The sequence below is a fragment of the Homo sapiens genome, chromosome 21, assembly GCF_000001405.40.
Source record: "Homo sapiens chromosome 21, GRCh38.p14 Primary Assembly".
NCBI classification, from domain to species: Eukaryota; Metazoa; Chordata; class Mammalia; order Primates; family Hominidae; genus Homo; species Homo sapiens.
Genome location: NC_000021.9, coordinates 13968142 through 13987218, shown reverse-complemented (window position 1 = coordinate 13987218; position 19077 = coordinate 13968142). Strand labels below are relative to the sequence as shown.

The following is a 19077-nucleotide window of genomic DNA, read 5'->3' as shown; positions in this document are numbered from 1 at the left end:
AGGGCCAGGGCTTAAGACAGGGCCAGGTCAGGGCCAGGGCCAGTGGAGGGCCAGGGCAGGGTGAGGGTAGCACAGGGCCAAGGCAGGGCAGGGTCAGTGTAGAGCAAGGACCAGGCCAGGGTATGGCAGGGCACAGCCAGGGAAGTCTAGGGCCAGAGCCAGGTCCGGGGCATGGACAGGGCAGGGCCAGAAACATGGCAGGACCAGAAAGGGGCCAGGGCAAGGGCAGGCCAGGGAAGGACCAGGGAAAAAGCATGGCCAGGGAGGGGCCAGGGCAAGGGGAGGGCCAGGGCAGAACCAGGGCCAGGACAGGTACCTGGCAGGGCCAGGGTCTGGGACAGGGCCACGGCAGGGCCAGGGCCACAGCCAGGTCTGTGCTATAGCCAGGTACAAGACAGGGCTCAGGCAAGGCTAGGGTGAAGGCCAAGGTAGGGCCAGGGCAGGGTCAAAGCCAGGCTAGGGCCAAGGCAGGGCCAGGGCACGCAGGACAGGTCCATGAAAGCATAGGGCCAAGGCAGGGCCAGGCCAGTGCCAAGACCAGGGCAGGGACAGGGCCATGGCCATGGCCTGGGCAGGACCAGGTTCAGGGCAGGAGCAAAAGAAGGGCAAGGACAGTTCAGGTTCTTGGCACAGCCAGAGTCCAGGACAGGGTCAGGGTAGGGCCAAGGCAGGGTCTGGGCCATGGTAAGACCAGCGACAGGGCTGGGGCTAGGATAGTGACAGGGCCAGAGTCAGGGCAAGGACCAGAGCAGTGCAAGACCAGTGTAGGGCCAGTATTTCAGGGTCAGGACAGGGTCAGGGCCAGGGCAGAACCAGGGTAAGGTCTCAAGCCAGGAAGGGCCAGGGCCAGGACAGGTCCAGGGTCTGCGTTAGGGCACGAGCAGGGCCAGACCAGGGTAAGGGTCAGGGCCAGGGCCAGGGTAGGGACAGGGCAAGAAACACGGCAGGACCATGGGCAACACCAAGGCCAGAGCTGAGCCAGGGCTGAGTCAGGGCTGAGTCAGGGCAAGGCATGGTATGGCCAGTGCAGGACAGGACCAGAGCCGGTCCATAGAGAGAGCAGGGCCAATGCCAAGGCAGAGCCAGGCTGGTGCCAAAGCTGAGGCAGTGTCAGGGCATGTTCAGGGCGGGGCTGGGGCCAGAACCGAGCCAGGGCACGGCCAAGGCAGGGTAAGGCAGGGCAATGGCATGGCCGGGTCAGTGCCAGGACAAGGCAGAACAGGGCAAGGCAATGGTAGGGGCAGAGCAGGGACAGGCCAAAACAGGGTCTAGTCACTTCAGGGCCAGGGCCAGGGCCAGGGCCAGGGATATGGCAGGACAAAGGCCAGGGTCAGGGCCAGGTCTGGGCTAGGGCCAGGTCCAGAGCAGGCCGTAGCCAAGACGAGGGTGAGAGCCAAGGTAGGGCCAGGGCAGGGTCAAAGCCAGAGTAGGGTGAGGGCAGGGCCAGGGCAGGGTGATGACACAGCCAGAGCACGGCAGGGCAGGTTGGTGCCAAGACCAGGGGCAGACTACTGCCAGCTCAGGGCCAGGGAAAGGCCAGGGCCAGGACAGAACCAGGAAAGGGTCTGGGTCAGGGCCAGGAGCAAGGCAGAGCAGGGCCAGGGCCATGGCAGAGTCAGGGCAGGTCCTTGGCAGGATCAGGTTCCAGGCCAGGGCCAGGGCACAGGCAAGGGCAGGACCTGGATAAGGGCAGAGCCAGGGATATGGCAGGACCAGGATCAGGGCCAGGAGGCTGGGCCAGGACAGGACCAGAGCCAGGCCATAGCGAGGGCAGGGCAAAAGCCACGGCAAGGTCAGGGCAGGTCCAGGGAGCGGCCAGCGTCAGGCAGGGCCAGGGCACAACCAGGGCAGTGTAAGGCAGGGCAATGGCACCGCCGGGCCATGACAGGGCAAGGTCAGTGCCAGGAGAGGGCAGAACAGGCAGGGCCATGGTGGGGCCAGGGCAGGGACAGGCCAAGGCAGGGCTGGGACAAATCAGGGCCAGGACAGGACCAGGACCATGACCATTGGCAGGGCCAGTGCCATGGCAGGGCCAGGGTCAGGACAGGAGGCAGGGCCAGAGCCAAAGCTGGGTCAGCACAGATTCAGGGAAGGTCCAGGGCAGAGATGGAGCCAGGGCCTGAGCCAGGGAAGGGCAAGTGCAAGGGCAGGACCAGAGCAGGGACAGGGTAGCACAGGGCCAAGACAGGGCCAGGGTGGGACCAGAGCAGAGCAGGGCTGAGACAGTCCAGGTAATGGTAGGGCAGGTCCAGGGCAAGGCTGGGCAGGGCAGTACAGGGCCAGGTCCACAGCACGGGCAGGGCATAGCCAGGCCCATTGTGAATGCATCGGCCCTCCCTACAAGGCTCCTACCACCTGGCCACTGCTGCAACCTGGCCACTGCTGTAGGCCTGCCCCCACCCTGGCCGCAGCCGCCTGCCCTCCTACTGCTCCAGGATGCTGCAGTCTGCATTGCCACCACCAGCCCACAGAGAAGCGAGCTGTGGTGTTGCAGGCTCCAGGTGTCTCCTCCTCCTCCTGGCACGGAGCAGCTGGGAGGGCAAAGCCAGAAAATCCTAGAGGAAGATGCAAGGGGTGGTAGCGTCAGAGCCTCACTTTGTCATGCCAGCCACTGGGTGGCAGGGGCCAGTTTCAGTGAAGGCACTCACAGCCACCCTTCAAAGTCCAGCCTCTCCTTTTGGCCCAAGCTGGCCAGAAACCGGGACCTGGGGTGGGTGCTGGAGACACCACAGTGCCTGGCTCCTCACTCCACAGGAACTGCTGGGCCCACCTGGGCTGCACTCCTCGGGAAGCAGGAGCAGCAGAAACTCAGACCCAGCCAACCCTCTGCACCCAGGTGCCACTTCCTGTTCCGGATGCCTCCACATACAGGGCCCTGTCCTCAGTGGTGTCTGCTACTCCATACTGGGGGGTGCCAGGCAGTCTCTGTGGCACAGACTCAGAGTGCATGGGCCCAGGAACCACGGTGGGTATGGGGGCTCTGCCATGCTCAGGATTTCCACAGAAACACTGTGTGTCTGCCACGCTCCAGTATGAGCAAGAGTAGGTTGCCCTCTGGAGTGTGGAGTCCAGGGAGAGGAGAACCGCTCCTTCCTTGGATGCCACCACTGTCACTGCCAACTCTGCTGACCGTCACCAGCAGTGCAGCCCCCAACAGTACCCAACTTGCCCCCCTCCATGGCTAATCCTGCCCTCAATAGCGCCCCCCACCTCCACTCCCCCAACGCCACCAGCAGCGTATACCCGATAGTGCCCTAACCTGTCCTCCTCTATGGGAATTGCAGTCCCAGAGAGCACCCATAACATGGTCCCCACCATGGGCAGTGCAGCCCCATATAATGCTACCAACCAGTACCCCCAGTGCAGGCAGTGACACCCTAGATAGTGCCCCCAACCCACCCCACAGTGTGAAAAGTGCAGCCCCGATGGCCCCTATCCTATCACTCTGGTCATGCTGCAGTCTCTGTCACCACCACCACCAACCACAGTGAGGCAAGCCACTGGGCCACAGGCTCTAGCCTCCAGCAGCCTGGCACGGAGCAGCTCTTGCTGATGGCTGCCTGCTACCACTCCGACCACGCTGCTGTCTCCATGGCCATCTTCTTTGACTACAAAAGAATAAAACTAGGTATCAATAAGAAGAAGAATTTTGGAAACCATACAGTCACATGGAAGTTAAATAATACACTCCTGAATGAATGACTAGTGGGTCAATGAAGATATAAGATGGAAATTGAAAAATTTCATGAAACAAATGGTAATGAAGACACAATATACCAAAACTTATGATATGCCAAAAACAGTACAAAGGCAGAGTTTCATAGCTATAAGTGCCTACCATCCAAACAGAAGAAAAACTTCAAATAAACCATACATCTTAAAGAACTAGTAAAGTAAGAACAAACTAAACCCAAAATAAGAAAAGAAATAATAAAGATCATAGCAGAAATAAAGTTGAAATTAAAAAAATACACAAAATTAAACAAAAAGTTGGTTTTCTGGAAAGCTACACAAAACTGACAAACTTTTAGCCAGGCTGCCTAAGAAAAAAGAGAGAAGATTCAAATAAATAAAATCAAAAAATAAAATAGGAGACATTACAACTGATACTTCAGAAATTCAAAGGATCTTAACTGGCTATTATATGCCAATAAATTAGAAAGCCTAGTAGAAATCCTAGACGCATACAACCTACCTAGTTTGAACAGTGAAAACATCCAAGACCAGAACAGATCGGTAACAAGTAATGAGATCGAAGCCATCAGAAAAAGTCTCCCAGTAAAAAAAAGCCCAGGAACCAATGGCTTCACTGCTGATGGTTTCACACCACACATTTACAGACCTAGTACCAATCCTACTCAAACTATTTTGAAAAACAGCAGGGAATACTTCCAAACTTATTCTGTGGGGCCATTATTACCCTCATACCAAAATCAGACAAAGACATCAAAGAAGGAAACTACAGGCCAGTATCTCTAATATTGGTGCAAACATCCTCAACAAAATACCAGCAAATCAAATTCAGCAATACATTAAAAAGATAATTCATCAGGATCAAGTAGGATGTATCCCTGGGATGCAAGGGTCATTCAACACTCAATGTGATACATCATATCAACCAAATAAACGACAAAACAGTATGATTATGTCAACTGAAACTGAAAAAGCATTTGATGAAATTCAGCATTCCTTCATGTTATAAATCCTCAAAAAACCAAGTACAGAAGAAACATAACTGCAACATAATAAAAACCACAAGAGAGAGACTCACAGCTAGAATCATATGGAATGGGGGAAAATGGAAAGCTTTTCCTCTAAGATCTGGAACATGATAAGGATGCCCACTGTCACCACTGTTACTTAACATAGTATTGGAAATCCTAGCTAAAGCAATCAGTGCAGCCCCTGATATGGTCCCCAACCAACCCCGCCCCCTGCCACCAGCAGTGTAGCCCCCCCACCCCATAGCGCACCCAACACACCCAAACTTCCCCCTCTTCCTGCACCGTGGGCATTGCAGCACCCCATAGTGCCTAAACCCAAACCCCCCCCACCCGCACCCCCGAGCAGTGCAGCCCTGGATAGCACCCTTAACCCACCTCACTGCTGCCGGCAATACAGTCTGGGATAGTGCCCCCAACTAGCAGGCCTAGCGGTTTTCTCTCATCCAATCAGAACATGAAGTCCAGGAACCTGGCTTGCATAACCTCAGTATATAAAGCATGCTAAGGGGGAGTTGCGCCATTGCAGGCTGTTGTGCCTCAGCGTTCCCAACCCCTCCGTTCGCACCTTAAAGAAGGCGAAAGCGGAGTCCCCCGCCACACGCTGGGGCTGGAGGCTGGATCCTGTGGCACCAGGGCTTGCCTCTGCATAGTGTGTGGCGGTGATGGAGACAGGCGGCTGGCAGCGAGAGCTGCTCCTTGCCTGGATACAGGAAGGGAAAGAGGAGGCACCTACCACAGGCTGGAGGCTAGAGTCTGTGGGACTGCGGCTGGCCTCGCTGGCTCGCCTCGCTGCTGTGGGTGGCAGCAGCGGACACTGCAGCCGGCCAGAGCGTAGAAAGGCGATTGGGTAGGTGCGCTATCCGGGGCTACATTGCCCGCGGCCGGGGGCCGGTAGGGGTGTTATTCCGGGCGTCACTACTTTAGGTGTGCTATCCCGGGCTGCGCTGCCTGCAGCAGCGGGGGGGGGGGGGGGCAGGTTGGGGGCACTATCCTGGGCTGTACTGCCAGCAGCAGTAGGGCTGGTTGGGGGCCCTATTGGGTGCTACACTGCCCGCGACAGGGGGCGGGTTAGGGCCGCTACTGTGGTTACACTGCCGGCGGCGCCGGGGTGGGGGGACTGGTCGGGGTGCTGACTGGTCTGGCTTCATTGCCCATAGTGGGGTGGGGGGGTGGTTTGGGGGCTGCACCGCCCGCGGCGGGGGACTTGTTGGGGGCGCTATCTGGGGCTGCAATGCCCCCCGCAGGGGATAGGTTAGGGGCAGTATCCGGTGGTACACTGCAGGTGGGGGGGGGGCGGGAAAGGGGGGTACAGGGAGGTGATTGGAGGGGGTGGTTTCAGGCCCTATCGCGGGCCAGACTACTCATGATAGAGGGGGGCGTTGGGTGCGCTATTGGGGGCTACACTGCCAGCGGCAAGGGGCAGTTTGGGGGCGATACCCCACCGGTGGCAGGTGGGGAGGTGTGGTGGGTTGTGTGCATCATTAGGGGGCTGTACTGTGGTCAGTGGGAGCGAGTTAGGGGAGCTATCAGCTGCTGCACTGCCTGTGGCGGGAGTCAGGTTTGGTGCGCTATCGGGACCATATTCTCGGTAGTGGCATACGGGTTAGGGGAGCTGTCGGGGGCTAAGCTGTCCACGGGGCGGGGGGTGCGGGTTGGGTGCGCTATCCAGGGCATCATACCCCGCGGCTGGGGGATGGTTGGGAGTGCTATCCGCTATCTGGGAGGGCACTGCCCATCGTGGGGAGCGGGTTGGGGGCCTTAAGGATCCGTGGCTGCACTATTCACGGCGGGGATCAGGTTGCAGCGCTTTCTGGGGCGTCACTGCCAGCGGCGAGGGAGTTGGTTGGGGGTCCAATCCGTGGCTGCATGGCCCACGGCAGGGGGCAGGTTGGGGGAGTTATCTGGTGCTGCAACGTCTGAGGCGGGGACGGGTTCGGGACGCTATTGGGTTTCTACACTGCAGCGGCGAGGGGAGGGTGTTAGGGGCGCCATCCCGGGTCCAATAGCTGGCGGCGGGTTAGGGGCGCTATCAGGGGGTGCCCTGCAGGTGGCGGCAGAGGTTTCAGCAACACCAGTGGCCTACAAAGAAGGAGCCTTCCTCCTCTCCCCAGACTCCAGACTCTAGAGGGCGACCTCCTCCTGCTCCTGCTCCTGGAGCGCAGCCAGCGCACAGCGTTTCCGCAGGAATCTTGAGAATGGCAAGGCCCGCACACCCGCGGTGGTTCCCAGGCCCGCCCCCTCTCGCAGCTGCAGCCCCACCTGCCAGTGCGTGCCGCCTCCGAGCGACTTCCGGGAGCCGGGCGGCCACCGCGGTGCAGGCGCGCGCCCAAAGGCTTTGCGAGGCTCACTCGGTCTGAGAGGTCGGAGGCTGCGAGTGTCGCTGCTGAAGGCTGTGGTGGACCGGGCTGGATCGCGGATTTTGGATTAGATAATAGATTTGGGATCGCCGATTGGGGGTTGGATTGCGGATTTGGGGTTGGATAGGGGATTTGGGGCTGGGTCGGCGGGGGCAGGGGCGGGGAGGTGAAAAGGTGACAGGGAGCTGCCTCCTCTCAAGAGCAGTTGGTTGGGAGTCTGAGAAGTCACCACCATGAAGTTGTTCGGCTTCAGGAGCCACAGGGGCCAGACGGTCCTGGGCACCATAGACCACCTGTACACGGGTTCCGGGTACCGAATCCGGTACTCGGAACTGCAGAAGATCCACAAGGCAGCTGTCAAGGGCGACGCCGCGGAGATGGAGCGCTGTCTGGCGCGCAGGAGCGGAGACCTGGACGCCCTGGACAAGCAGCACAGGTAGCGGGGGCTCAGCCCGGGGTGGCAGGGGGTCCCCAGGTCCGGCTTTCCGGCAGCCCCTGGGACGGGGGCCTTGGAGGTCGCCGGGCACCCTCTGAGCGGCGGAGCCAAACGGACCCTCAGCTGTTTTCCATCCCTCATAATTCCCTGGCTGGAGCAGTTGGTGGAGAATTTGAGTGATTTAACTCACAAAGTTAAGCATATAGTGTTGTTAATTTTAACGTACACGTTTAAAACATGGTTTATATACATTATAGGAGGTGCCTAATGAGAGAACTCATTCCCCTGTCAAAAATACCGTGAGTTATTTTCAGTAGGCGAAAAGTTCTCAGATAAAACTGTCCGTTTTACATCCGTATCCCCCTGTGTAGGTAGGTTCTTTACTGAAGGTTCTTAGAGAGAAACTTGGAAGTGGGAGGTGGCTTCTGTGTTCTTGAATGGGAAGGCACATTTTCCTCAAAATGTGAGCTCTTTCTGTGTTAATCAGTTTTACATAGACCGAATGAAAATATCAAGGTTTTAAGATTTTTGTATTACACCTCCTGTCTTTCGCTATTGTGATGACATTTTAAAAAATTTCATAATGGAGTGAAAAAACACTTGCTCCTCTAGATATCAAAATGTGCTATTAATTTCTACAATTAATTGTTTACTAACAGCTGAAAAGACAAACGCATAGAACAGAATAGGCAACCCAGAAACACTGAAATTATGTAAGATATACGTAAGGATTAATGAGTACGAAAGGATGAATTATTAACGAAAAAATGTCTGCTGTTTGAAGAAAACTAATGAAATTTTATGTCACAAACATGAGTTCCTGATGGAATACAGATTGAAATTTTTACATATGAAAATGAGTAAAGTACCGGAAGAAAACACAAACGCTTATTTTACAGGTACACTTTATGTTGACAAAAGCCTTCCTAAGAATGACCTCATAAGCAGGCATTCTGAAGGTTGATTTAGCAAACTAAAAATTAAAACTGCCTGTGTTTCAGAAAAAAAATAACAAAAGAGAGCTTACTTGAAAAATATTAACTATATTATATATATATATTCAGATGAAAAGTGTGTTTTCATTTTAGAGGGAATTCATTATATTCTTTTTCTTCTTTTTTTTTTTTTTTTTTTTTTGAGTCAGAGTCTCACTTCTTTGCCCAGGCTGGTGTCCAATGGCACAATCTTGGCTCACTGCAACCGCTGCCTCCCGGGTTCAAGCAATTCTCCTCGCTCAGCCTCCCAAGTAGCTGGGGTTACAGGCAGGTGCCAGCATGCCTGGCTAATTTTTCTATTTTTAGTAGAGAGGGGTTTCACCATGTTGGCCAGGCTGGTCTTGAACTCCTGAGCTCAAGTGATCTGCCTGCCTCGGCTTCCCAAAGTGCTTGGATTACAGGCATGAGCTACCGTCCCCAGCCTATATTGTTTATTATATATCATATGATATATATATTGCTGATACATATACCATATATATTATTACAGATATAATCTGTTATATATATATCAGTTATATATACACATTAGATGAAAAGTTGTATGTATATATACACATTAGATGAAAAGTACATTTTCATTTTACAGGGAATTCTTTCAAATCTAATCATCAAAAACTTTAAAATTGGGCAAAGTACTTTTTTCCAGATCTGCAAGTTATTTGTGTACATAGCAAAAAGTCCTTCGCATTTCTGGTATAAGAATTTAAATTAAAAGAGGAATGAAACAGTTTTCTATCCACAATATTTGTGAGGATGTTTTATACTCCTGTTTAAAGTTTAAGTTGCTGATTACTTTTCAAATAGGTAATTTGGTGGTAAGTACTACATTTAAAAAATATGTATGCCCTTTACCCATCAATTCCATTATACTAAAACACCCTTAGTAAATAAAGATACATGCACTTTATTTTTCACAGCACTTATTTTAAAAAGAACCCATAGAATGGATCCTATAAATAAATTTCAGTTGCATCCATAAGATGGAATAATATGTGACCATTGAAGGTGGCAATAGATACAGAAGTATATTGATGTGCGAAAATGTATTTTGTTATAGCTAGTGAGGAAAAAAATCAATTAAATTATACATACACACAAACATACTATGGTCTTGTTTTAGCAAAAAATATGTACAAAATATAAAATTTGTAATTTCTGAGCATTTGTATTTTAAGTAAAGTTCTTTTCCTTTTTCTTATCTGTGATTGCTGCAGTGAGCATGTACAAAACTTCTAGTAAAGTTTATTAATAAAGGAATAATCCTCAGGAAGAGAGGAATATGAATCTTACATTATTAAAAATAATTTCTCACTTTCTATTTTTATCATTATTGTGTGTATTGTTATCTTCTTTGAACTTTTAGCCTCTTCAGAAGTAAAAAGGGAATGTTTTTATCTGTTTCCAGATTTTATTACCTATATATTTTATTATGTACATATGTTTTTCTTATATATTCATTCAATTTATGCAAACAATGATAGATTAATAATTTCATTTTAATTGTATTCTTTAAAAATAAAAATAATATATAAATACTATTGCAAAAATATTGCTTTATAGGAGTTTATTTAAAAATATCGATCTCCCCAACTGTATTTATCCATTCTTTCATTCCATTTATTCATCAAACATAACCTGAGTACCTGTTATGTAGCAGACATATTCTACTATCTCTCAGGACGCTTCTATCCTTAAAAACTACATGTTTACCTGCCCTGCCTGCACAAGCTGAGAGATTTAATATAGGAATATTGGGACTTAATCTCCTTGAAACTTTATCTCCCACCTTTCAAACAAAAGCATTTCTGAAGTTAGAAAATAGTAGAAGATAACCTTTAACTGCCCATTCAAAAGTTTATCAGTCTTAAATACTAATATTAATCATTGGAAAGTCTTATTTGCATATATTCTGTAAGTATAAATATTGAATAAAATGAGCCGTATGTATTCATTTGAATCATGAGTTTCCTTTGGCTTCAGTTTGTTTGAAAATCAAGGAATTAATTTGTTTAAAAAATGCATTATTGTTATTTCAGTGCTCTATCCCCATAGTACCTTTAAGAACTAAAATGTATTTACATGCCAGTTATATGCCTAGAACTGCCCTAGACCTGCTGAGTATACCATATTCTACTTAATGTAAGGTCTCATGGATTGTGTGATGCCCCGCTATTTTATATATCAATAAGATAATTTTAAAAATGCTACCAATTGTAGTTATAACAATATAAGTGGCATTCCAATGTCAGAAGTATTAAAATGTGACCTACTCTTTAAGCCATTCTGCAAAGTAGGTATAATTGTGTCTTTTACCTAATTAAAATGTTTTTGTTAAGTAGTAGTAATAGTAACAATTATAATATTTGGCTGGGTGCAGTGGCTCACACCTGTAATCCCAGAACTTTGGGAGGCTAAGGTGAGAGGATTGCTGGATGTCAGGAGTTTGAGACCATCCTGGGCAACAAAGTGAGATTCTTACTCTTCAAAAATTTTTAAATAAATAGCTGGGCATGCTGGTGCACATCTGTGGTCCCAGCTACTCAGGTGGCTGGGGATGGAAGATCGCTTGAGCCCAGGAGTTCCAGGCTGCAGTGAGCTATAGTTACATCATTGCACTCCAGCCTGGGCAAAAGAGTGAGACTTGTCTCAAAAAACAAAAATCTTACAATTATTGAGTTGTAGGAACTATTCTAAATACATAGCTTCTCATTTAAGCATCACGATGGTGTCCTATGAGATAGCTACTATTGTCATCTTCATTAATGAGGAAGTTGAGGCACAGAAAGGCTAAGAAATAGTTGGTAAGTGACAGGGTTTAAAGTAGGACTCAAACCCTAATTGAACTGAATCCAAAGACTGAGCTCTTTCTATTCAAATAGGCTGCTGTTTTCATTAAGGCAATGAGCAATCAGAGCTAGTAAGTATTGTACTTTCTTCAAAAAAAAAAAATAAGTATTTGTTTTGAAGGCAGAGGAAAAACATGCTATTCATTTTTTACAGTTACATGAATGATTGTATGTTTTGAGATGTTGCACTACAGTTTCCTGAAAAGTCCTCTTACTCTCATAGAACTGCTCTACATTTGGCCTGTGCCAGTGGCCATGTGAAAGTGGTCACTCTCCTGGTTAACAGAAAATGCCAGATTGATATCTGTGACAAAGAAAATAGAACACCTTTGATACAGGTATATTAGAGCCAACTCTTTTAGCATGACATGGATTTGATTTGCATACATAGAATTAAAATAAATTGATCTCATTTACATATAACTAGTTGGTGAAACCTGTGGAATGTGTATTTTGAATTCTTGGAATTTACAATCTGTTTCTTGGTCTAATACGGAAAGGCTGTCCATTGCCAGGAGGAGTCTTGTGCCGTTATTCTGCTGGAAGATGGCACCATTCCAAACCTTAAGGGTATCTACGGCAACACTGCTCTCCATTATGCTGTGTATAGTGAGAGCACCTCACTGGCAGAAAAACTGCTTTTCCATGGTGCAAATATTGAAGCACTGGACAAGGTATAGATCAATCAACTTTCTTTCCAAAATATTTGTTTTAACATTGACATAGGTAAGGGTCAATTTTTTATATTTGGAAGCTCAACCATTCCCTGAATGCAAATGCAAATTATTTTGAAATAATTGTCTAAGATTTTATTTTAAATATTGATACCTTTAAAGGAGCATTAAAGGGTACAGCTTTATAAAACACACTTTGGAAAATATTTGTGAATTTGTTAAAGGTAAAACTTTTTCAACTTTTTTTCTGTGCAGGGTTATCTTTCCTTTTATTCCCCCTAATTAGCATAAAACAACACAGGAAAGAAAATATGCCCTGGAAATAGGCTTTATCTTAAAACTCAAACAAAACTAAAGCAACTTACAATAAGTGGACATGTTGCTGCTGCTGATAATTTTCTGAAAAACTGATGAATCATCTCTCAGTGGCACAGGGCTTAACAGGGGAAAATGGGAAGGGAAAAGGGGAGCAATCAGAAATATGCAGGTCACTTGGAAATTAGGTAATGAGGGAAAATGCTATGAAGAGTTTTTTTTTTTTCTCTTAGTTTGCTGTTCTTCCAGTTTATGTGTTGAGACAAGGTGCTCCTTAGCTTTGGGTCTAATAATTTTTGGTTTGAAAATGAGAGTGAGTTGAAACTTGCCTAGAGATGAATTTTAGGAAGACTTTGAGGAAACCAGGTTGGCAGTGAATATGTGGTGGTGAAGTGAGAAACACTTCAGCAGAAGGTGGAACAAATTATTAACTGACTTATTGCCCATCCTGGCAGAAACAGCCACTTAGATAAGAGTCTAAAGACTCCTCTCAAACCTAGAATGTCTTGGTGGGAAGGTGGGAGATAAGGAGCTTGTAAATAGCAAAATCAAGTGGGATTTTCAGTTTACTTGTTTGTGTTCTACCCATACCCAGGAAACTTAACTGGAGCTTTAATAAATGACACTATCTCTTACTCTTTTCTCTTTTTGGCCACATGTCCAACTGATAAAGGGAACTAGCCATGCGGGTGAGAGATGAGACTGAAGTGATTGCTGCACTAATTCTCAGAATTGTGCATTACAGCGACCTGAGGACATTTTGTTAAAAATCTACAATTGTAGGCTTTCCCCTGAGGATTTTGATGTAATAGACCTAATAAGGCCTGAACATTTTTAAAAACATTTTCTTGAAGCTGGGCACAGTGACATGTTCCTGTAGTCCCAGCTTGAGCCTGAGTTTAAGTTCAGCTTGAGCAACATAGTGAGACTCTTGCCTCTAACAACAATAACAGCACACACACACACACACACACACACACACACACACACAAAAACCCTCAAGTTTAGGATACACTCCTGATTAAGAACCCCAGAACAGATAAGTGCAACATATAAATTTCTGTATCTCAAAAACGTAAGAAATCTCTAGAAGAATTGGCATTTGATAGGTGCTACTTCCTTCAAAGTTCTCCTTTTCAGTAAATTAGCCTGACTTATCTGTCTTTCTCTACATTTGTGACTGGGAAGTGAAAGGAAATATTACTGGCAATATCTCTCAGCTTACAGAATAACACTTTTCCTTCCCACCATTAATCATTCACTGACATTCAGAGTTTTTAGAAATTTGCTTATGCGTAATCTTTCAATAAGTAGAGGCTGACCCTTTCATGATTTGATGTCCCTTTGTCACCATGCATGTAATTACGTGTCAACAAATGTTCATTACAAGTTGGGCTTTCTCAATTAGAATAGTAGCAAATCCTAAACTATTTTTTTTAGTTGAAGTTGTATTATGAACTGGCTCAGTACGTTTGTTAAGTTTATAGAGCTTTAGCATACCCAAAATGTCAGTTTTAAACACTGAAGTCCATGGAGTTAATAAAAATACAGATATGAATTCTTTTAATAATTTAGTTTTAGCAGTCCTATGAACCAATTATCTATTTGGTTAACAATCTGGGAAAATTATATACAAATATATTTTAAATGAATAAGTGTTGGAAAAATTCTTGAAGCAGGTATTATGAGTCTTTTTGAGCAATTTTTATTATATATGAGAGCCTGATTTTTTGGTAAAACATATGATACTAGAGAAAGAAAATATTTTACATGCAAATACCTGGATTATACACAACCATTTAGTAACACATTAATAGCGAATATAAAAACACAAGGGCTATATTCTAATGTGGTACACAGATTTGTTTGTTTTCCTCTATAAGTTGAATCAACATGTAAAATTTAGAAGACTGGTGTAGAAATCTGGACTTCAGGCTTATTTTAAAAAATCAAATCTGGTGTCCCCTGAGTTTCTATCACTGTTTGGTCTGCTGTGCAGAGGTTGCCCCTTTAGAAAAGGCAGGTATTCTCCAGTTTCCTACTGTGCCCACCTTAGTACTTCCTTTACTCAGGCAACCTTCCTTTGTCCTTGTAAGTATTTGAGTTTACAACTCCTATGTTATAGTATATTTTGATAAAGATTTCAAGGTTTTTAAGTCAGCACATATTTGTTATAATATATAGTCTATAGAGTATATAAATCCCTCAGTTATGGAGTTGAATTTTAGAATTTAGAAGTTTTTGAAACTTTTCTTTATATATACCACAAATAATTATCTGCCCATAAGAATGCCTAGAAGCCTTTTTAGGTTATTCCTGGTTATAGTTGGATAATTTCTGAATATTGCAGACATTACATCTTTCTCCTCAGTGCTCTTCCTTAGAAATGCAAGTGACTTACTGGCTTTTATTATGCCAGAAATAATTCATATGGATCAGTATGAGAATTTTTTTGATAAGCCATTATGTTTTTATTTTGGATTTATATTTTGTCTAAAATAAAAAATAATTTTAAGTAGCCCTTTAAGTGGAAGCCAATAAAAATGGATTTAAAAAGTAGAGCTGCCCTGGGGTCCCGGGATTACCATTATAATTGAGAATAGTATTTCTTACTGAGCTTTGGTTTTTTAAATATTTGTTCTTAAGTTTTTTAAACCTATTTCTCTTACACAGAACATACTGAGCTTTTGAACAGTAAAGATAAAAATCTATTCTCTTGTATTAGGGAAAAAAACCCATGGACTATTTAATAATAAGGAAAATAAGTGCATTTGAAGCCAATCTCTCTTAATTCAAAGCTCATTTCCATAGTGACCCATTTGGATCAGGAGTGCCTGACATTCGCATCTGGGATCCTGACACCATTGATAGAAGTGAGTCAAGCAAGTCTGTACCACCCAGAAAAAACCTCCACCTGCATTGGGAAGCTCTGGCAACTGTACCCCTAAAACTCTTAATTCCTCAAATGTTAATGTTTGCCACAAATAGTATTGTCAAATGGGGATTAGGTAAAATTCAAGAGATTCCTTGATTATTGGACATAACATACAGTTTTATAATACTTCTCAAATGCAGATGGTCATGGAGTCTTTCTCTTGGGGTATAATACTTCTGGTAAGGCAAATATTCTTTGGAATATAGTTTAAGAAACACTGCTTTAGTGAGAATAATTTAGATCATTAATTTATGTAAAAAACTTAAAATGTTTGCTACTGTGTCTTAGGGTTTTGGGGCCATAGAGACAAAAGATACAGCCCTTGCCTCAAGAAGCTCTTGGTTTCAGTGGGACACAGTGAAATGATTACAATGTACCATGCTAAGTGCTGTGATCAAAGCAAGGATTCTTGGGACTGGTAAATGTTTAAAGTGAGTTTTGGCAATGACCACAGTTAATCCAGGGAGACAGAGGAGGGTTGTTTGCAAGGCAAAAAGCAGCACATCAGAAAGCACAGAGGAGTGAGAAGGAAGGGACTGCTTTTCATTTACTTCCTTTCTATATTGTATGTTGAAGTTCAAAGCACCTTAGAGAAGATTTTCAGTTCAGTTGAGAAATATGTAATTTTGTGAATTATTAATTTTTTCTGCTGTTTTATAGGACAATAATACCCCACTTTTATTTGCTATAATTTGCAAGAAAGAGAAAATGGTGGAATTTTTATTGAAAAACAAAGCAAGTACACATGCCGTTGATAGCCTGAGATGGTACAGTAGTTCTTTTTAAATAAAACCTGAGTATTCTAGAGTGGTAACAGTCACTCAAGTCAGAAATATTAATAAGAAGATTAATATAATTACTGGCATATAGTGAAAAATATCACCATGAATAATCAGATAGATCAGCAAATATTTGGACTGAGTAACATAAAGAACAGTATATAGTAGGATTCATCTTCTCCTATAATACAGAGTGTTTGTTATTTATAATTGGATGTTTTTGGTACTGTAATCTTTTATTAGCTAAAGGGTTTTGTATTAGCTTTATTAAGTTTTTTTTGAGATGCAATCTGGCTCTGTTGCCAGGCTGGAGTACAGTGGTGTGATCTTGGCTCACTGCAACCTCCACCTCTCAGGCTCAAGAGATTCTCCTGCCTCAGCCTTCCAAGTAGCTGGGACTACAGGCATGCACCGCCATGCCCAGCTAATTTTTGTATTTTTAGTAGAGATGGGATTTCACCATGTTGGCCAGGATGGTCTCGATCTCTTGACCTTGTGATCTGCTCTCCTTGGCTCCTCAAAGTGCTGGGATTACAGGCATGAGCCCCTGCACCTGGCCAGTTTTATTTATTTTTAAAGTGTGGACTTTTAGTTTATGACTACTAGTATTGTCATCATCATCATTGTTGTTGTCGTTTTCAGTCTGCAGATAGCTCTTATCTGACCCCTAGCTGATATAAATTACAGTATATCAGACTAGGAAAGCAATGGGGAAATCTTCATCTAAATCTTTACCTACTTTAGATAAGTGACCTCAGCACAGTTTCTTGGCTATCAAAGGACTATGAGTTAGCAACTTGTATTATGTCTTACCCCAGTGGGACAAGAGCCTTCCTTGTTGTCCTTTTCTTTTAGCCTTGGTGACAATTTATAAAGATGAACACCTGAGAACCCTAGATGCTTATAGACCCAAGCTAGTACATGCAAAATGTTATTATGTCTACACTGACAGGTGGATATTAAATTGGTAAAGTGTATCAAACTAGCTGTTTAAAAAAGTCTTTATTAAAGTTCTTGAGTGGAGTGATTTCTTTGTTATTTTAGAACAGCCCTCATGCTTGCTGTGCACTATGACTCACCGGGTATTGTCAACATCCTTCTTAAGCAAAATATTAATGTCTTTACTCAAGACATGTATGGACAAGATGCAGAAGATTACGCTATTTCTTGCCGTTTGACAAAGTAAGTGTTTATGTTAAAAGGCCAGTTAATATTGAATTGAAGTTTAAAATAATTGCAACTATTCCATCTTATACATTAGGTGAGAGTTCCTAGTTTTGTTCAGATGGTTTGAAATAGCAATGAGTTAGTCTACCTTTTAGCCAGAAATCAAGCAGAAGTCTAGATTAGTTAGAAGTAGAGTGCAAGATGTTTTCAGGATTTTTAAGACCTTTATCCCTAGGGATCTCAATGTTGTTCATTTTATTCTAAGTATAATCCCCATGCATGGGATAAAAAGAGCCACATTTTTTACTTCTTTTCCTTTCTTTTCTTTTCTTTTTTTTTCCTTGAAACAAGGTCTCACTCTGTTGCCCTGGCTGGTCTTGAACTCCTGAGCTCAAGTAATCCACCTGCCTCGGCCTCTCACAGTGCTAGCCACCATGCCTGGCCTGACTTTTCTAATTAGTTATTGGGTCTTGAAATGTCCAATTTAGCAGAAAATCTTGTATTTTCCCCTGGGGCTATCTCCTGTGTCTTCCTTCTTTGGATTTTCCAAGAAGCTAAGGGGTTTCCTAAGCCCAAGGAAGGCAATCTTCCTTTACAAGTCAGAAGAAGGGGGAAAAAGGCCATTCTGATCATTCTGTTGTTTCCATGGACTCAATTCCTGTATTTTTGCCATTGTAACCAGTCCTGCAATCTGATAATGTTTGACCTTTGCCACCAGGATGCCTTCACTCATTCAGACCCCTCAGTTTTTGTGGTGATTCATACATAGAGTTCAAAGCTAGGGGGTTTATTAATTTATGTACTTATGCTCAGTCATTGTTCCCAGCACCCTGATCTGGCAGCTAGGCCTCCTAGCTTTACCCACACAAATATCGAGCAAGTTGATCCTCACCCTACACTAAAAACCTTATTTGGAGCCCACATCTTAGCTAGACTTAGCCTAGGCATTCATGGTAAGTTATCCTATGAGACCCGTGTTTGTCTGTTCTTTAACCAATATTAGTTGGGATTGCTCTCAACAGTCAGGGATGTTCAAATAATTTTGCAGGAAGAGATTAGGGTTCCCTTTCTCTTTTGCTATCAGATCTGTACCTTGAGGCTTTTTTACATCCTGTGGAGCAGCTTTGGTTAGATAGCAGAAGGTTCCATGTTATCTTTCCACCGAGTAGTGGGAACCAACTTGCAATTGGCCCCTCAAGTAATGTGTCTCTATGATAATGAAAATCTCCTGGGCTAATCACAACTCTTCCAGGAGTTTTAAATATATTTTAAAATTCTACCTCACAGGAAGCCATTCAATAAAATTATCTGAATCTAAAGTCAGTGAGTTGGATTTAACAGAGCTAAGCCTCATCCATAACTCATGAGTATCCATGTATCAAACAGGGCTTTGTACTTGTTTCAGCAGCACATATTTAAAAATTGGATCAATACAGAGCAGGTAAGCATGGCTGCTGCCTAGGGATGGCACACAAATTCAGAAAGCATTCCATATTTTGCATAGTCCCGGGAAGGTCATTTGACTATTTGTTGAGTAGCTCCAAGGAAGCAGTGTGAGTGAAACCAAAACAGAAGACACCCAATATTGAAATTGTGATTATCACTATAAAACTATTGATGTAAGGTGATCTCTGAAATGAGAACAGAGCTGAGTAATAAGGGGATGTTACTTGTTGCTACTACATGTCTTGGAAATGACAAAATGTCAACTTGCATTTCCTTCATGGAACTGAAAAACAATAAAAGCAGGGTTTTGTCTCATCTGTTTGTTGGAGAGGACCATGGAGATCCAGCGTCCTAGCACAGATCTGCTGGCTCAGAGTTTGAGGAGGTAGAGAAGGAGTGG

The 19077-nt window shown here is 44.9% G+C and overlaps 2 pseudogenes across 1 annotated transcript in view, besides 1 other annotated feature; both read left to right on the top strand.

The window, feature by feature from the left end:
* The first annotated feature begins 6774 nt into the window (after positions 1-6774).
* Positions 6775-19077, top strand: part of ANKRD20A11P (ankyrin repeat domain 20 family member A11, pseudogene) — a 36676-nt pseudogene continuing 24373 nt past the window's right edge. The window contains exon 1 of the transcript NR_027270.1: positions 6775-7517. The product of NR_027270.1 is annotated as an ankyrin repeat domain 20 family member A11, pseudogene (transcript). The remainder of the gene's footprint in view (positions 7518-19077) is intronic.
* Positions 11777-12071: a silencer, noted in NCBI's record as "tiled region #4483; HepG2 Repressive non-DNase unmatched - State 24:Quies". NCBI's record gives its function as "represses a minimal TATA promoter and a strong SV40 promoter by Sharpr-MPRA in HepG2 cells {active_cell/tissue: HepG2}" and the evidence as "EXISTENCE:reporter gene assay evidence [ECO:0000049][PMID:27701403]".
* On the top strand, positions 18624-18730 carry RNU6-954P (RNA, U6 small nuclear 954, pseudogene; annotated as a pseudogene).